This window comes from Homo sapiens, chromosome 17 (genome assembly GCF_000001405.40).
Source record: "Homo sapiens chromosome 17, GRCh38.p14 Primary Assembly".
Lineage (NCBI taxonomy): Eukaryota > Metazoa > Chordata > Mammalia > Primates > Hominidae > Homo > Homo sapiens.
This window is the reverse complement of record NC_000017.11, coordinates 60,623,142-60,639,374: the sequence shown is the minus strand read 5'-3', so window position 1 is coordinate 60,639,374 and position 16,233 is coordinate 60,623,142. Positions and strand designations below refer to the sequence as shown.

Here is a 16,233-nt window from a genome sequence, read left to right as displayed (position 1 = left end):
TTTAGGTGGCTGAGGCGGGTAGATCACCTGAGGTTAGGAGTTAGAGACCAAGTTGGCTAACATGGCAAAACCCCTGTATTTTTGTACAAAACTTAGCCGAGCATGGTGGCGGGTGCCTGTAATCCCAGCTACTTGGGAAGCTGAGGCAGGAGAATCGCTTGAACCTGGGAAGTAAAGGTTACAGTGAGCCGAGATTGTGCCAATGCACTCCAGCCTGGATGACAAGAAAAAAACTCAGTCTCAAAAAAAAATAATTTTTTTTTCAGTTTTTTGTTATCATCTGATGAATGCCTTTCAACCCTTTCCTAGACTGCAAGCTCCATGAGGGCAAAGATCATGTGCTTGTACATACAGCAGAGTGCTTCATACACACTATACTCAAAAATTATCTCCCCAGTGAATAAAATGATTTGCAAGACTCAAAATGCAATTCCAGCAGGCAGCCACTAGAGGGCACCTTTGCTACATTTGTACTTGGGTAATTATCATCAGTGTCTATAGGGTGGGTACCAATGTTGACAAGGAGACATCTATTCCCACCCCTTCCCCCGCCCAAAAAAACCTATAAGAAAAATGGCCGTAAACCATAAGGGTGTGTGCTAAATATGAGCATTTAATTTACTTTAGGCCAGTAAGTATTTCCATGCAACAAGCTAAACTCAGAAAACCAATAACATGGCTCTTTTAAAAATATTATTTCCAGGCCGGTCGGTCGCGGTGGCTTGCGCTTGTAATCCCAGCACTTTGGGAAGCAGAGGTGGGCGGATCAACTGAGGTCAGGAGTTCGAGACCAGCCTGGCCAACATGGTGAGATCCCATCTCTACTAAAAATACAAAAATCAGCCAGGTGTGGTGGCACGCACCTGTAATCCCAGCTACTTGGAAGACTGAGGCAGAAGAATCATTTGAGCCGGGGAGGCGGAAGTTGCAGTGAGCTGAGATCGTGCCACTGCATTCCAGCCTGGGCAACAGAGTGAGATTCCATCTCATAAAAAAAAAAAAATTTTTCCAAGTGTCAGAATAATGGTTTGAAAAGTAATACAGCAAAGCCTTTTTAGCTTAAATATTAAAATCTAAAAGGTAGCATTATTTTTGAAAAGAAAATATTTATGTGACAAGAGAAATCAAGAGGAAAAAAGCTTTTTTATCACTAAAACGATTTTCTCTTATAAGCCCTTTTATCAAAATATTAATTCATTTCTGTATGTGTTTACAAAATTATGTTGAAGTAAAGTAACTTCTATAAAAACACTGTCTAAAAACTCGCTGTATCAAATTTTATTCCTCCCACTCAAGAAGACAGTTCTTTCTTCAATAACCCCAATCATGGTTGTGGTCTTGCTATTCCACCAAAAGCTACCTTCTTTTTCAAGGTCACCAATGACCTCCACATTCCTAAATCCCATGGTCATTTTTCAATCCTCCCTCCACCTAAATGACAACAGTATTTGAAACACTTTCTTTCTGGAAACACTTTCTTCACTTAGCTTCCAGGGTACGCTAACCCAAATTTCCTATTTGACTTACAGCTGTTAGTTGTTTTACCTTGTTCTTCCATTCACATCCCCTAACTCTTTTAGATTTTTTTTTAATTTTAATCCAACCCTCAAATGAAACCAGAGCACATCCCCCGAGTCTTAACAGTGAGAGTATCTCAGGGCTCAGCCACTAGACCTTGTCCCCTTTTCTATCTGCACTCAATCCCTACATGACCTCAAGACTTTGTATACTATCTATATGCTACTGGCTCCCCCAAATTGAAAGCTCCACCCTAGACAACACCTGAAATCAATTCTTATAATGGGAAGCCAAATAGGTATCACCACCTTAATGTCTAAAACATGCCGAAAGGGTAATGTGTCCAAAACTGAACTTCCGACCTCTCCTTTACACTGATGTTCCAGTCATTTCTTTATCACTTAGTGGCAACTCCATTTTTCCAGCTGCTCAGTTAAAAATACTGAGTAGGAGCGGGGCACAGTGGCTCATGCCTGTAATCCCAGTACTCTGAGAGGCCGAAGTGGGTAGATCACTTGAGGTCAGGAGTTGGAGACCAGCCTGACCAACATGGTGAAACCCCTGTGGCACAGAGTGAGACCTCATCTCAAAAAAACAAAAAAAGAAAGAAAGAAAAAGAAAAAAGAGAAAAATTCATGAGTAATGAGAACCCTTACATTTGTTACTTCTGCCTACATTCTGTGGCCCCAGACACTCACAGGTCTTTACTAAAAATACAAAATTAGCCGGGCGTGGGGGCGCACGCCTATAATCCCAGCTACTTGGGAGGCTGAGGCAGCAGAATTGCTTGAACCCAGGAGGTGAAGGTTGCAGTGAGCTGAGATCACATCACTGCACGCCAACCTGGGCAATAAAAGCGAAATTCTGTCTAAAAAAAAAAAAAAAAAAATCATGAGTAGGCTGAGCGCTGTCGCACATGCACTTTGGGAGGCTGAGGTGGGCAGATCGCTTGAAGCCAGGAATTTGAGACCAACCTGGGCAAAGCGAGACGTCTCTACAAAAAATTTTTAAAAATTAGTTGGGTGTGATGGCATGCACCTGTAGCCCCAGCTACTTGGGAAGCTGAGGCTGGGGGAACACTTGAGCCCAGGACTTTAGGGGCTGCAATGAGCTCTAGCCTAGGGCACAGAGTGAGACCTCATCTCAAAAAAAAAAGAGAAAAATTCATGAGTAATGAGAACCCTTACATTTGTTACTTCTGCCTAAATTCTGTGGCCCCAGACACTCACAGGTCTCACTGCCTCATCTCTTTACTTACACTTTACTGACATATCATCTTAGCGAGACCCTCCTCTGACCATCCCATTTAGAATTATTATACAGGCCCCACCCTCATAGCATTCCCTGCTTTATTTTTCTTGGTAGCATTTCTAACACAGTATGTGTCCTACTTAGTTATTTTAGTTTATCATGTTTTCCCCTAACCTAGAAAGTAAGCTCCATGGGTGCAGGAATTTTTGTTTCATTCACTGCTGAATCCTCAGCACCTGGAACAGTACCTAGCACATAGCAGGTATTTAATAAATATTTGGTGAATAAAGAACAATCATGAAGAAGTAGGAACTATATGCTTTTAAAATACATCCACAAATTATTTGATATACTTGAGGGTGGGCTTGATTTAGTGATTCAGGGCTAACAAAATACAAAGCTGGGTTCCCTACAGCAAGTGATCAAGAAAGCAAGGTAGAAGTCAAAATGTCTTTTTATGATCACTTGCTCTAAGGAAGCCAGCTGCCATGTGATGAAGACACATCAAGCAACCCTATGCAGAGGCCGGCAAAGCAAGAAACTGAAGCCTCCAGCCAATCCAGGTTACTCAGTGAGCTGTCTTACAAGTAGATGCTCCAACCCCATTGAAGGCTTCGATGATTAATGACATCTTGATTGCAGCTACACAAGAGACCCTGAGCCAGAACCATCCAGTTAAGTCACCCCGGGTTCCTGAGCCGGAGGAACTGTGTACATAAAAAATGTTTTAAACTCCTAAGTGTGGGAGTATTTGATTACACAGCAATAGATAACTAATACAGCGGGACTGTAATAACCTGGGATAATCACTTTGGGAAGAAATTTAGCAATACCTAATAAAACTAAACATGTAGATATCTCTGAACTGAGTCTCCCAATTGGTATTCCTTGGATGAGTGAGGCCTAGGGGCAGCAGGGTGGGTCCTCAGTGGCTAGAGAGTCCATGTTAGTTACCTCAGTCTCAAGTAGCCTCCTCTGCTTACTGTAGAAATATTATCATCTTGTGTGAGTGTTACGACACAAAAACAGTTGGTAAGTAACATACTATGACCCAGAAATTCCATTTCTAGTTATGTATCTTAAAGAAATCTTGCCAGGCACAGTGGCTCACGCCTGTAATCCCAGCACTTTGGGAGGCCAAGGCGGGCAGATCACCTGAGGTCAGGAGTTCAAGACCAGTCTGACCAACATAGAGAAACCCCGTCTCTACTAAAAATACAAAATTAGCCGGTAGTGGTGGTGCATGCCTGTAATCCCAGCTACTCGGGAGGCTGAGGCAGAAGAATCGCTTGAACCCAGGAGGCAGAGGTTACAGTGAGCCGAGACTGCACCACTGCACTCCAGCCTGGGGAACAAGAGTAAAACTCCATTTAAAAAAAAAAAACAACCCATATGTGTATATAAGGAAATATTTATTGCAGTATTTTTCATAATAGCAAATGCTTGGATATAACATAAAAGTCCACCAGTCAGGGTGTGAAAGAAGAAAATTAGTTTCACATTGGAAACAAATTATTAATATATATAGTAGTTGTGCTGGGTGTGGTGGCTCATGCCTGTAATCCCAGTGCTTTGGGAGACCGAGATAGGAGGATGGCTTAAGCCCAGGACCACCCCGGGCAACACAGTGAGACCCCGTCTCCTTAAAAAAGAAAAAATTAGCCAGGCGTGGTGGCTCACACCTGTAGTCCCAGTTACTCGGGAGGCTAACGTGGGAGGATCACTTGAGCCTGGGAGGTAGAGGTTGCAGTGAGCTGTCATCATGCCACTGCAATCCAGGCTGAATAACAAAACAAGACCCTGTCTCATAAAATAAAAATAAACAAATGTGCGTTTTCTCAGAGACATTTTCTTTGAAAAAACTACCCCCATCTAGCATAGCCAAGGTAAGACACCTTAACAGGTGTAATTCTCTAGCCTTCTTTCCAAAGCCAGGTAGACCAGAAATATAACTATTTTTTTCATAGTTATTTTACTTTCCTAACTAAAGAAAAAAGAGGTTTTGAAGGCTCTCAGGAGGACTATTAAGGGCTAAAGGAGAATGGGATACTTAAAAATAGTTTCAAGGGTAACATTAAGCCTAGATATGCATATACTTCCCTAAACAGAGATAGAAATTAGCAAAACATTGAACGTGACTCATGAACAAAGGGCAACTGTCAGTGAATTATATACCTAAACCTTCCCCTCAATTAGGCTTTTTTTTAGAGTCTTGCTCTGTCGCCCAGGCTGGAGTGCAGTGATGCGATCACTGCAACCTCTGCCTCCTGCTTTCAAGCAATTCTCCTGACTCAGCCTCTTGAGTAGCTAGGACTACAGCTACACATCACTATGCCCAGCTAATTTTTGTATTTTTTAGTGAAGATGCAGTTTCACCATGTTGGCTAGGCTGGTCTCAAACTCCTGACCTCAAGAGATCCGCCCACCTCAGCCTCCCAAAGTGCTGGGATTATAAGCGTGAGCCACCATGCATGGCTTCGATTAGGTTCTAAAGCAGTTAATAGAATATCATGATATCTCTACCCTCACTATATGCCAAGTAAGGGTTTAGTTCTGTCTCCTCTTTTATTTTGCCACCATATATTGTAGAAAATTCAATATAATTTCACCAAATTAAGTCCTACTTACCAAGTGCTCTTGCTACTGCCAGAAAAGGAATCTGGTCAATAACTGTGCTCCTTCTAACAGGTCCATTGTGAGTGAGTCGAGGTCGTTTCCAAACTACACGATTCACCCCAGACTTGTTCATTACACTAAAAATAAAGAGTTCACATAAATAATCTAAATGATTAAAATACAACAACTAAGATAGCTCAGTATATTAAATCACTAATAAAATAAGACTACATTATTACAAAATAATGTCTTATGTGTTTCAAATACAAAGATGCATAAGCCAAAATTCCTGTTCAGAGAGGAATTAGGGTAGATTCAAAGTGGAAAATTTTGAGATTACTGGAATAGGCAGTATAACCAAATGAATGTAATGTGAAGAAAAGTAAGTATAAATACCATGTCAAAAAAAAAGCAACACTACCTAATTAGTAAACAATTGGGGGTTGACAGAAGGCCTTATCTAAGTGGAGAGAGAACTGCTTGAACTCGGGAGGCAGAGGCTGCAGTGAGCCGAGAATCACACCACTGTACTCCAGCCTGGATGACAGAGCGAGACTCTTGTCTCAATAAATAAATAAATAAATAGGCATTAAATTGTGATATAAGCAATTAAAAAGGAAAGGTTATAGGGTTCTGAGTGTTTATGTTGAGGACGGGCGAAACAGCAGAACTTCAGTTTTAATTTTTGTTGTTGTTGTTGTTTTTGAGATGGAGTCTCACTCTGTTGCCCAAGCTGGAGCACAATGGTGTGATCTCAGCTCACCACAACCTCCACCTCCTGGGTTCAAGCGATTCTCCTGCCTAAGCCTCCCGAGTAGCTTGGATTACAGGCGTATGCTACCATGCCTGGCTATTTTTGTATTTTTAGCAGAGATGGGGTTTCAGCATGTTGGCCAGGCTGGTCTTGAACTCCCAACCTCAAGTGATCTGCCCACCTCGGCCTCCCAAAGTGATGGGATTACAGGCTGACGTCAGCCACCGTGCCCAGCCAGTTTTTTTGTTTATTTTTATTTATTTATTTTGAGATGGAGTTTTGCTCTTGTTGTCCAGACTGGAGTGCAGTGGCACCATCTCGACTCACTGCAACTTCCGCCTCCTGGGTTCAAGCGATTATTCTGCCTCAGCCTCCCAAGTAGCTGGAACTACAGGCACACGCTACCACGCCTGCTAATTTTTGTATTTTTAGTAGAGACAGGGTTTCACCATGTTGGCCAGGCTGGTCTCGAACTCTTGACCTCAGCCTCCCAAAGTGCTGGGAGCCACCACGTGGGCCACCACGCCTGCCTAATTTTTTCTTTTTTGAGGAGACGGGGTCTCACTATGTTGCCTGGGCTGGTCCTGGGCTTAAGCCATCCTCCCACTTCAGTCTCCCAAAGTGCTGGGATTACAGGTGTGAGCCACAGCGCCCAGCCTGTTTTTTGTTTTCTGATACAGGGTCTCTGTCGCCCAGGCTGGAGTGCAGTGGTGCACTCATGGTTCACTGCAGGCTTGACTTCCTCCTGGGCTGCAGTGATCCTCCCACCTCAGTCTCCTGAGTAGCTGAGAATACAGGCATGTGCCACCATGCCCAGCTAATTGTTGGCAGTTTTAATATGATTTCAGCAATATACAGAAAATACTATATATTTAGGTATTTCTGTAATTCAAAGTTTGAGACTAGACTTTGTGAAATAGATCAGCTGTAGACATATAGATTTGGGAGTTACAAGAGTAAGAAAACCCTCCTAAAATGTGTCATAGGAGCAAAAGAAATGCCTAAAACTTGGAAATATGATTAGGTTTTTTTTTTTGTTTTTGAGACAGAGTCTGGCTCTGTCACCCAGGCTGGAGTGCAGTGGTGCGATCTCAGCTCACTGCAAGCTCCGCCTCCCGGGTTCATGCCATTCTCCTGCCTCAGCCTCCCGAGTAGCTGGGACTATGAGTAGCTGGGACTACAGGCACCTGCCACCATGCCTGGCTAATTTTTTGTATTTTTAGTAGACACGGGGTTTCACCAGGTTAGCCAGGATGGTCTCGATCTCCTGACCTCGTGATCCACCCACCTCGGCCTCCCAAAGTGCTGGGATTACAGGCGTGAGCCACCGCGCCCGGCCTGAAATATGATTAGTTCTTTAGGAAAAAACACTGATAATCAAAACATTAGAGATGGTCTCTCAAACTATGCCTGGCATGACCGAAATGAGCTTTACTTCAAATGGGAATTGATTTTTTAAATTTAATTTTTATTAATTTAAACAGCCATTTGTGGCTAGTGGTGAGTATACTGAACAGTCCAGAGGAAGACTGAAACAAGTAGAGAATGACCAGAAAACATTGTGGGTGTTAACAAAGAAGAGAAATTCCAGAAAGTTGCTCATTCACCATCCCCCCACCCTTTTTTTTTTGGAGACAGTCTCGCTCTGTTACCTAGGCTGGAGTGCAGTGGTGTGATCTTAACTCACTGCAGCCTCAGCCTCCTGAGTAGCTAGGATTACAGGCACCCGCCACAATGCCCGGCTAATTTTTTTATTTTTAGTAGAGACGGGGTTTAACCATATTAGCCAGGCTGGTCTCGAACTCCTGGCCTCAAGTAATCTGCCTGCCTCAGCCTCCCAAAGTGCTAGTCTTACAGGCATGAGTCACCATGCCCAGCCTACCATCCCTTTTGAGAACTAGTTTTCATTTGGTTTTGAGACAGGGTGTCGTTCTGTTGCCCAGGCTGCAGTGCAGTGGTGTGATCGTGGCTCACCACAGCTTTGACTTCCCAGGCTCAAGTGATGCTCCCACCTCAGCTTCCCAAATAGCTGGGACCAAAGGCATGTAATTTTTTTGTAGAGAACAGATCTCACTATGTTTGCCAGGCTGGTCTTAAACTCCTGGGCTCAAGCCATCCTCCCATCCGGGCCTCCCAACATGCTGGGATTACAGGCGTGAGCCACCATGCCCAGCCAAGAACTAGTTTAAATAAGTTCTGATATAAATAGGTTGATCATAACAAGAGTTAAAATATCAAAGGCATTCATTTTGTTGTATTAAGCTTTCTTCAATGATGACTCTCAAAAGTCAACAGCAGAGTAAAGACTAAACTTGCCATTCACAAGAATCCATGAAACACAAGAGTTATAAGATGCCAACATTCTGCCTTAATACCATCTTAAAGCTCTATTATTCTTTGCTAAACCTTCTCCTTACAAGGTAAGGCTTAGTACCTAAGTAATTTACAGTAGCTGCTTCCAACATAACTAGACGAGCAGCTCTCTCGACACTTAATATTCAAAGATATTATGATCTGTGTTTCTGAGAAACAAAAAGACAAATAATGATACTGGTTAAAACATAGAAGTTTCAACATCTAGTAACAAAAAACCAAAGCAATGTTATAAAAGATGCTTTTACTGCACTTCCTGTTGTTGTCCTATATGATTAAAAGGCATGTAAAAAGGAACAGCCTGACACGCAGAGAGCTGACTGAGCAGCAACAGAAGGCTGGAAAAACAAAATGCTGGCCCGTTGCCTAGGCCGGGACAGAGGGAAGCAAGGAAATAACTTATAATAAAATAGCTCAATTTTTGCAAAAAGTTACCTGCTCCAAAATAGCGGAGTATCTGCCCAACTGTCCAGATGGTGTTTTTGGTAATAAAGCCAAAAAACTCTTTCTAAAAACATTATTAAAATCAAATAAAATATAATTTTAAAATTCAAGTAAAAAAACAAACAAGAAAGAATAGTCAAGAAAGGTATTTTTAAAACACAAAAGGGTAATTTCTTCTGTAGAAAATAATTATTTCCTTTTTTGTTCATTTATTTTATTTATTTATAATTATAAAAAAATTTTTTAGAGATGGAGGTCCCGCTATGTTGAACAGGTTGGTCTCAAACTTCTAACCTCAAGTGATCCTCCCATCTTGGCCTCCAAAGCGCTAGGATTACAAGTGCCGCAGCCAGCTGCTTTATTTTATTTTATTTTTTTTGAGACAGTTTTCACTCTTGTTGGGCAGGCTGGAGTGCAGAGGCAGGATCTTGGCTCACTGCAACCTCTGCCTCCCAGGTTCAAGAGATTCTCCTCCCTCAGCCTCCCGAGTAGCTGGGATTACGGGAACATGCCACTACGCCTGGATAATATTTTTGTATTTTTAGTAGAGATAGGGTTTCGCCATGTTGGCCCGGCTTGTCTCGAACTCCTGACCTCCGGTGATCCGCCCGCCTCAGGCTCCCAAAGTGCTGGGATTATAAGCGTAAGCCACTGTGCCCGGCCCCAAGAAAAGTATTTTTTAAAAGGAAGATTAATGAGAAGGAATCAGGCCTACCAATATTTAAAATTATAATAAAGTCTCCGTTTTAAAAATTATAATACTGGTAAATAAGCAGGAAAAAAATTATAGCCCAGAAAAGACCCAAATATATGGAAGAATTCTGTTTATAATTTGCAAAGCCCACTTAGCATGACAACCAGCAGAGATGTCAGATATATTCTCACCTTCACAATCACAAGATCAAATAGACTATAGCCTGAAAGGAGGTTCATCTAACTTTGCAGAATACTGGGCAGGAAATAGAGTATGCCACCATAGCAGCTTCAAGGATATTGTCTTCAGCAGTGATTCAGACAGCCAGAAGCCATTTTTCCATCTCCCAAGTGATGGCTCAGTTGTAAGCAAGACGACAGGGTCTAGCTTAGGTAAGCTTCATGTGTCACAGAAACCAATGTAATAAATAGCACATGACTACAGTTTCTTGGTCCCTACACAAGACAAACTGCATGCATACAAGGAAGCCAAGGCCTGTGCTTCCGAATAGAAATGTACAGTCCATTCAACAACTTCCCTACCAAGATGCAATTCCATTCAGGGATCATTCTACAATAAGCAATGCTGTCTTACAACAGAGGTGATATTTCACATTTATCTTCACCAGAGAAATACAAGAAGAGGGTAAATTCAAGGTCATCTTCCCACTAAAGAAGGGTCTTAAGCCTGGTCACCCTGCTACTCAGTAATGAAAAGATGTATAATTATTCAAGTGGCTACTAGTAGCCATCTAGAAAAAAAGTTAACTTGCCTATTTACTACATAGCTTAGATCTTAAAATTCCAGAAGGATTAAAGATTAAAATATAAAAGATGATGAAACCATACGAGTACTGGCAAAGTGGTTCTCAAAATGTGGTTTAGGGGCCCCTGGCAGGTTACTACAGACTTTTTCAGGGTGTCTCCAAGGTCCATTTTTTTTTTTCATAATACTACTAAGACCACATGTATACAGTGGAGTTTTTTGAGAGGCTGCATGACTGGATATTATATAGTATAATAAAAAGTGTCAATATTTGCAAGATCTGTATAACTCAGTGACCTAGTATATTACAAACAATAAATGCATATATTAAAAAGTCATGCATAGGGGCTACATACTATATGGTTCCAACTATATGACATTCTGGAAAAAGCAAAATTATGAAGGCAGTAAAAAGAGCAGTGGTTGCCAGGAGTAAGTGGGGGAGGGATGAACAGACAAAGTACAGAGGACTCTTACGGTGATGAAACTAATCTGCATGATACTATAATGATGGATACGTGTCATGACGTATTTGTCAAAACCCATAAAATGTATAACACCCGGAGTGAACCCTAATGTAAACTATGGACACCAGGTGATAACAGTATGTCAGTGTAGGTTCACTGATTGATTATAACAAACACTCTGGAGAAGGATAGTGGGGAAGCCTGGGAGACGGGGGGTAGGCCAAAGTATATATGAGAATTCTGTGCTTCCCACTTAATTTTGCTGTGAATCTAAAAGTACTCTTAAAATTAAAGTCATTAATTTTTTTAAATTATGCAGGGATTTTTAAAAAGCATTCAATTCAGGGCCGGGAGCAGTGGCTCACACCTGAAATGCCAGCACTTTGGGAGGCCAAGGCAGGTGGATCGCCTGAGGTCGGGAGTTCGTGAAACCCCGTCTCTACTAAAAATACAAAATTAGCTGGGTGTGGTGGTACATGCCTCTAATCCCAGCTACTCCGGAGGCTGAGAACCCAGGAAGCAGAGGTTGCGGTGAGACGAGATCGTGCCACTGCACTCCAGCCTGGGCAATAAGAGCAAAACTCAAGTCTCAAAAAAAAAAAAAAATTTCTATTCAACTAATGTCTTCATTGACTGACTAATGGCTGTTAATGTAAGAATATGCAAAGTTCATTAATAAAGTTTCAGATACCTTAAGAAACTATCATTTCTTGAGTTTTGAAACAGTATCAAAGACAAACATTTATGGAAAAGTGAGCAAAATACTCCTTCCTGGTCAGGCGAATTGGCTCACACCTGTAATCCCAGCACTTTGGGAGGCAGAGGTGGGCGGATCACAAGGTCAGGAGTTCAAGACCAGCCTGACCAAAACGGTGAAACCCCGTTTCTACTAAAAATACAAAAATTAGCTGGGCATGGTGGCGGGCACCTGTAATCCCAGCTACTCAGGAGGCTGAGGCAGGAGAATCGCTTGAACCTGGGAGGCAGAGGTTGCAGTGAGCCCAGATCCCGCCACTGCACTCCAGCCTGGGTAACAGGGCAAGACTCTGTCTCAAAAAAAAAAAAGAAAGAAAAAGAAAATTAGCTGGCATGTTGGCACACGTGCACCTGTAGTCCCAGCTCTCAAGAGACTAACATGGGAAGATCATTTGAGGTTGCAGTGAGCCATGATTGTGCTACTGCACTGCAGCCTGGGCAACAGAGTGAGATCATGTCAAAAACAAATACAATGAACAAACAGAGTTTCTAAGACCAAAAATATTCCTGTTGTACTAAAAGAAAATATAGCAGACTTTATTAAAAAGCTTCACTGTGTGTGTGGCATAAAACCCAAAAAGTTGTAACAGAAGAGACTAATAAATTTAACTACATTAAAAGAAACTTCCACGTGGAAAAAGTTCCAGGAGCATAATCAAAAGACAAACTGTGGAAACAATATCTAAAATTCACATCACATACATCAGACTAATTTCTTTAATGTACAGCTAGCCCCTACACATTAATGTGGGAAAAAAATGGCTAACAACAATCCCCCAAAATGAATAATAAATATTAAAAGAAATACAGAGAAAAGAAAATATAAATGGCTCTTAAATATATAAAAAGATTCAATATTTCTCATAAGATAAATTCAAATTAAAACATTACTGAAGCTGGGCACGTGGCTCACATCTGTAATCCCAACAATTTGGGAGGACAAGGTGGGAGGATCGCTTGAGCCTAGGAGTTCAAGACCAGCCTGGGCAACATGGTAAGACCTCATTTCTATTTCTTAAAATTTTTTTTTAAAACAACATCATTGCCGGGTGCAGTGGCTCACGCCTGTAATCCCAGCACTTTGGGAGGCTGAGGTGGGTGGATCATGAGGTCAGGAGATCAAGACCATCCTGGCTAACATGGTGAAACCCCATCTCTACTAAAAATACAAAAAATTAGCCGGGCGTGGTGGCAGGCGCCTGTAGTCCCAGCTACTAGAGAGGCTCAGGCAGGAGAATGGCATGAACCCAGGAGGCCGAGCTTGCAGTGAGCCGAGATCGCGCCACTGCACTCCAGCCTGGGCGAAAGAGCCAGACTCCGTTTCAAAAAAAAAAAACAAAAAAAACCCCAAAAAAACACATCATTGAGACACCTCTTTTTTAAACCTGAAACTGGATATGATCAAAAAGTTTTATTTGTTGTCCAGGACATCCACATACACTGATGGTAGAAGTGTAAATTGGTACAACCTTTATAGAGACAAATAGTTATCAATATTCAAAACATACACCTCTTTGGCCAAGCAATTCCACTTTTAGGAAATGATCCTACAAATATACTGGCAAGTGCACAAAAACACATATGTGCAGATTTTTCATTTCACAGCAGTTTGCAATAACAAAAAAAAATTAGAAATAAAAATCCTTCAATAGGAGACTGATTAAAATAAATGACGGTACATCTGTACATGGTACAGCTCCATAATATATTTGATTGTATATGAATATCTCTCTTTTGAAAGGACACACAGCCATACTGGTTGCTTAGCAAGTGGAGGGGAACGAGGTGGCCTTTGGGACAGTAGCAGCTGAGAGACCTTCCATAGCATATCCTCTTTTTTATGCTACCTGAATTTGAACCAAATGAATGTCGCCATTAAAAAAATAAAAATAAACGTATGGCATAAAATCTCATCACTCATTTATAAAAATTTAGAATATTTCCATCTTATTCCCATGTCTCTGCATTGCTAACACCAGAAATATAATTTTATATCCTGCTTTTTTGTGACCATAAACATTTTCCTCTATCATTAAACCTTCCCCATATACATGGGAGTTCATATTACTCTACCTTTACTTGGAAAAATTTCAAAACACCATGAGTTTTATAAACTTATCTATAAATGTTATTTTTAATGGCTGTATCATATTCAGCATTATGAATATGTTGCTAAATATACTTAACCATTATCCAGCTGTTAGGCCTTCAAGTTACTTCTGGCCTTTAACAGTCATTACAAATGCTGCAATCAGTAACTCTATTCAGATATTTTTGTCCACAGTTCAGATTTCTTCTTTAGATTCCCTAAACATTTAAAGCTACTGGTATATATTATTTTCTATATAGGTAGTACCAATTTGTAATCTTACCAAGAAGGTAACCATTTCAATAAAAATATTGAGAGGAATCTCTTTATCTTTCCTAATCTAATAACAGGAAATGAAGTTTCATCTTAATGTTTTACTTTTATTTCACCAAATGTTTACTACTGTTTTGCATTTTTTTGTTGTTCAAACTTTCTCTCCTTTATCCACCTAACCGGGGTTGCCATGCACCTTAGTACTTTATTTTATTTTATTTTTATTTTTTTAAGAGATGGAGTCTCGCTCTGTCGCCCAGGCTGGAGTGCAGTGGCGCAATCTCAGCTCACTGCAACCTCTGCCTCCTGGGTTCAAGCAATTCTCCTGCCTCAGCCTCCCGAATAGTTGGGACTACAGTTGCACGCTGCCACGCCCGGCTAATTTCTTTTGTATTTTAGCAGAGATGGGGTTTCACCATGTTCCCCAAGCTGGTCTCGAACTCCTGAGCTCAGACAATCCACCCGCCTCGGTCTCCCAAAGTGCTAGGATTACAGACGTGAGCCACTGCGCCCAGCCTCACACTTTAGTACTTTATTAATTTGTTGAACTCCTTATAGTTTAAGGATGCTAATTCTTTTTTCTTTTTTGAGATGGTGTTTTGCTCTTGTTGCCCAGGCTGGAGTGCAATGGTGCAATCTCAGCTCACCACAACCTCTGCCTCCCAGGTTCAAGTGATTCTCTTGCCTCAGCCTCCGGAGTAGCTGGGATTACAGGCATGTGCCACCACACTCAGCTAATTTTGTATTTTTAGTAGCGACGGGGTTTCTCCATGTTGGTCAGGCTGGTCTCGAACTCCCGACCTCAGGTGATGTGCCCGCCTCAGCCTCCCAAAGTGCTGGGATTACAGGTGTGAGCCACAGTGCCCAGCCAGATGCTAATTATTTTCCTTAGTTTGTCGTTTCTCTGCAAAAGACCAATTTTGATTTAATAAAAGCAAAAAAGAGGCAAGTAACGATATCATGGGAAGGCTTTAGTTAGAAGGATTATTTAGAAAACATTGGATTCTACTCAACTTGCCTCATATCCTCAATTTTTAAAAATTAGTATTGAGATAATTTTTAAATTTTTTCATGTTATTCACTCTCTTGATTTTTAGAATAATCTTTCATTTAAGTTTGAATCATAAAAATATAAAATTGAAATCAATTTCAGTTCCTAGTTTACAAATTACTTACACATTGAAACGCTAAGTTCAAACAAAGAAAACAATAACTGGAAAGGTTTGCAGTAAATCTGAAATCAATGAAAAAAGCTGAAGGTTAATTCTAACTTAATCTTTTTCCCCCAGCCAGATTCAAAGTGTTCTACTCTGGAACTCCAAGAGCTGCTCCGTCTAGATTCTGAAAGTCATCTGAAAGGTTTTCAGTAAAACCTTGAATTGTTTCCTTGGGGCTCACTGAAATATTATTTCCTATTAGAGTCATTATCAGAAATAAAAGTCAATTCATAGTAATGAGAAAAATATGAACATACATACATGAGTATTACATCAGACAAACTAAAAAACCTGTAATACTAAGAAAGTAACTTCAGTAAAAGGGACAGTAGTAGGTCAATTTCATTAGTAAAGCATAAAAGGACTAAATAGAACCAAAAGAGGAAAGAGAAAACGACAGAATGTTACCTCCCACCAAGTCCTTCGATTCGTTCTCTTTCCTTGGGAAGTTCTGGCTTATGGTCCTGTGTCACCTCCACAGCTCTGACAAAGTCATCCTTCGGGTCATCCTGAATTCCAAGAACCACCCCTGAGTCACCTACGTGAGCTACATACATCTTCATGCCCCGAATGATGACCACACTGGCAGTTGTCCCTGATGTGCTAGGAAGACCCGTCATAGTCTTTGGCCATTCCGCTGTAATAAGAAATAAAATATTTCACTCTTGCAAGTATAAACATTAATACACTGTCAGGATACAAATGGCAACAAACTCTGAATTAGCATGTTAACATTCGAATTAGCACAGGAAACAATTTAAGAAAAATATTCTGAAAACTACTAAAGGACTTAGGTTAATTAATGAATACATTAATAAATTAATGTTATAAATAATGCAATTATGATACAACTATCAAACCAATCCTAAGAGAAATATATTACAGGACAGGTTTACTACTGCTACATGACTCTTAGTCCTAACTACATTGATAGGAAAGAATGTGTTAAGAGGTTTTTTTAATCTGAATCAGTTTTGATTCAAGAGTTGTGGTATCATTTAGCCAGCCACTTAGCA

The 16,233-nt window shown here is 40.9% G+C and overlaps 1 protein-coding gene across 3 annotated transcripts in view, besides 1 other annotated feature; it reads right to left on the bottom strand.

Moving 5' to 3' along the window:
* The window catches only part of PPM1D (protein phosphatase, Mg2+/Mn2+ dependent 1D), a 66,088-nt gene that overhangs the window by 26,906 nt on the left and 22,949 nt on the right, over positions 1 to 16,233 (bottom strand). For all 3 annotated transcript variants that reach the window (XR_934577.3, XR_007065507.1, NM_003620.4), the window contains exons 2-3: positions 15,626 to 15,854; positions 5,398 to 5,522 (exon numbers count right to left, since the gene is read on the bottom strand). Coding sequence is in view for 1 of the 3 variants with exons in the window: in NM_003620.4 (NP_003611.1) it covers positions 5,398 to 5,522; positions 15,626 to 15,854 (354 nt within the window). In the remaining 2 variants the exon portion in view is untranslated. The remainder of the gene's footprint in view (positions 1 to 5,397; positions 5,523 to 15,625; positions 15,855 to 16,233) is intronic.
* Positions 15,620 to 15,820: a silencer, noted in NCBI's record as "peak2930 fragment used in MPRA reporter construct". NCBI's record gives its function as "represses an SCP1 promoter by STARR-seq MPRAs in K562 erythroleukemia cells {active_cell/tissue: K562}" and the evidence as "EXISTENCE:reporter gene assay evidence [ECO:0000049][PMID:32103011]".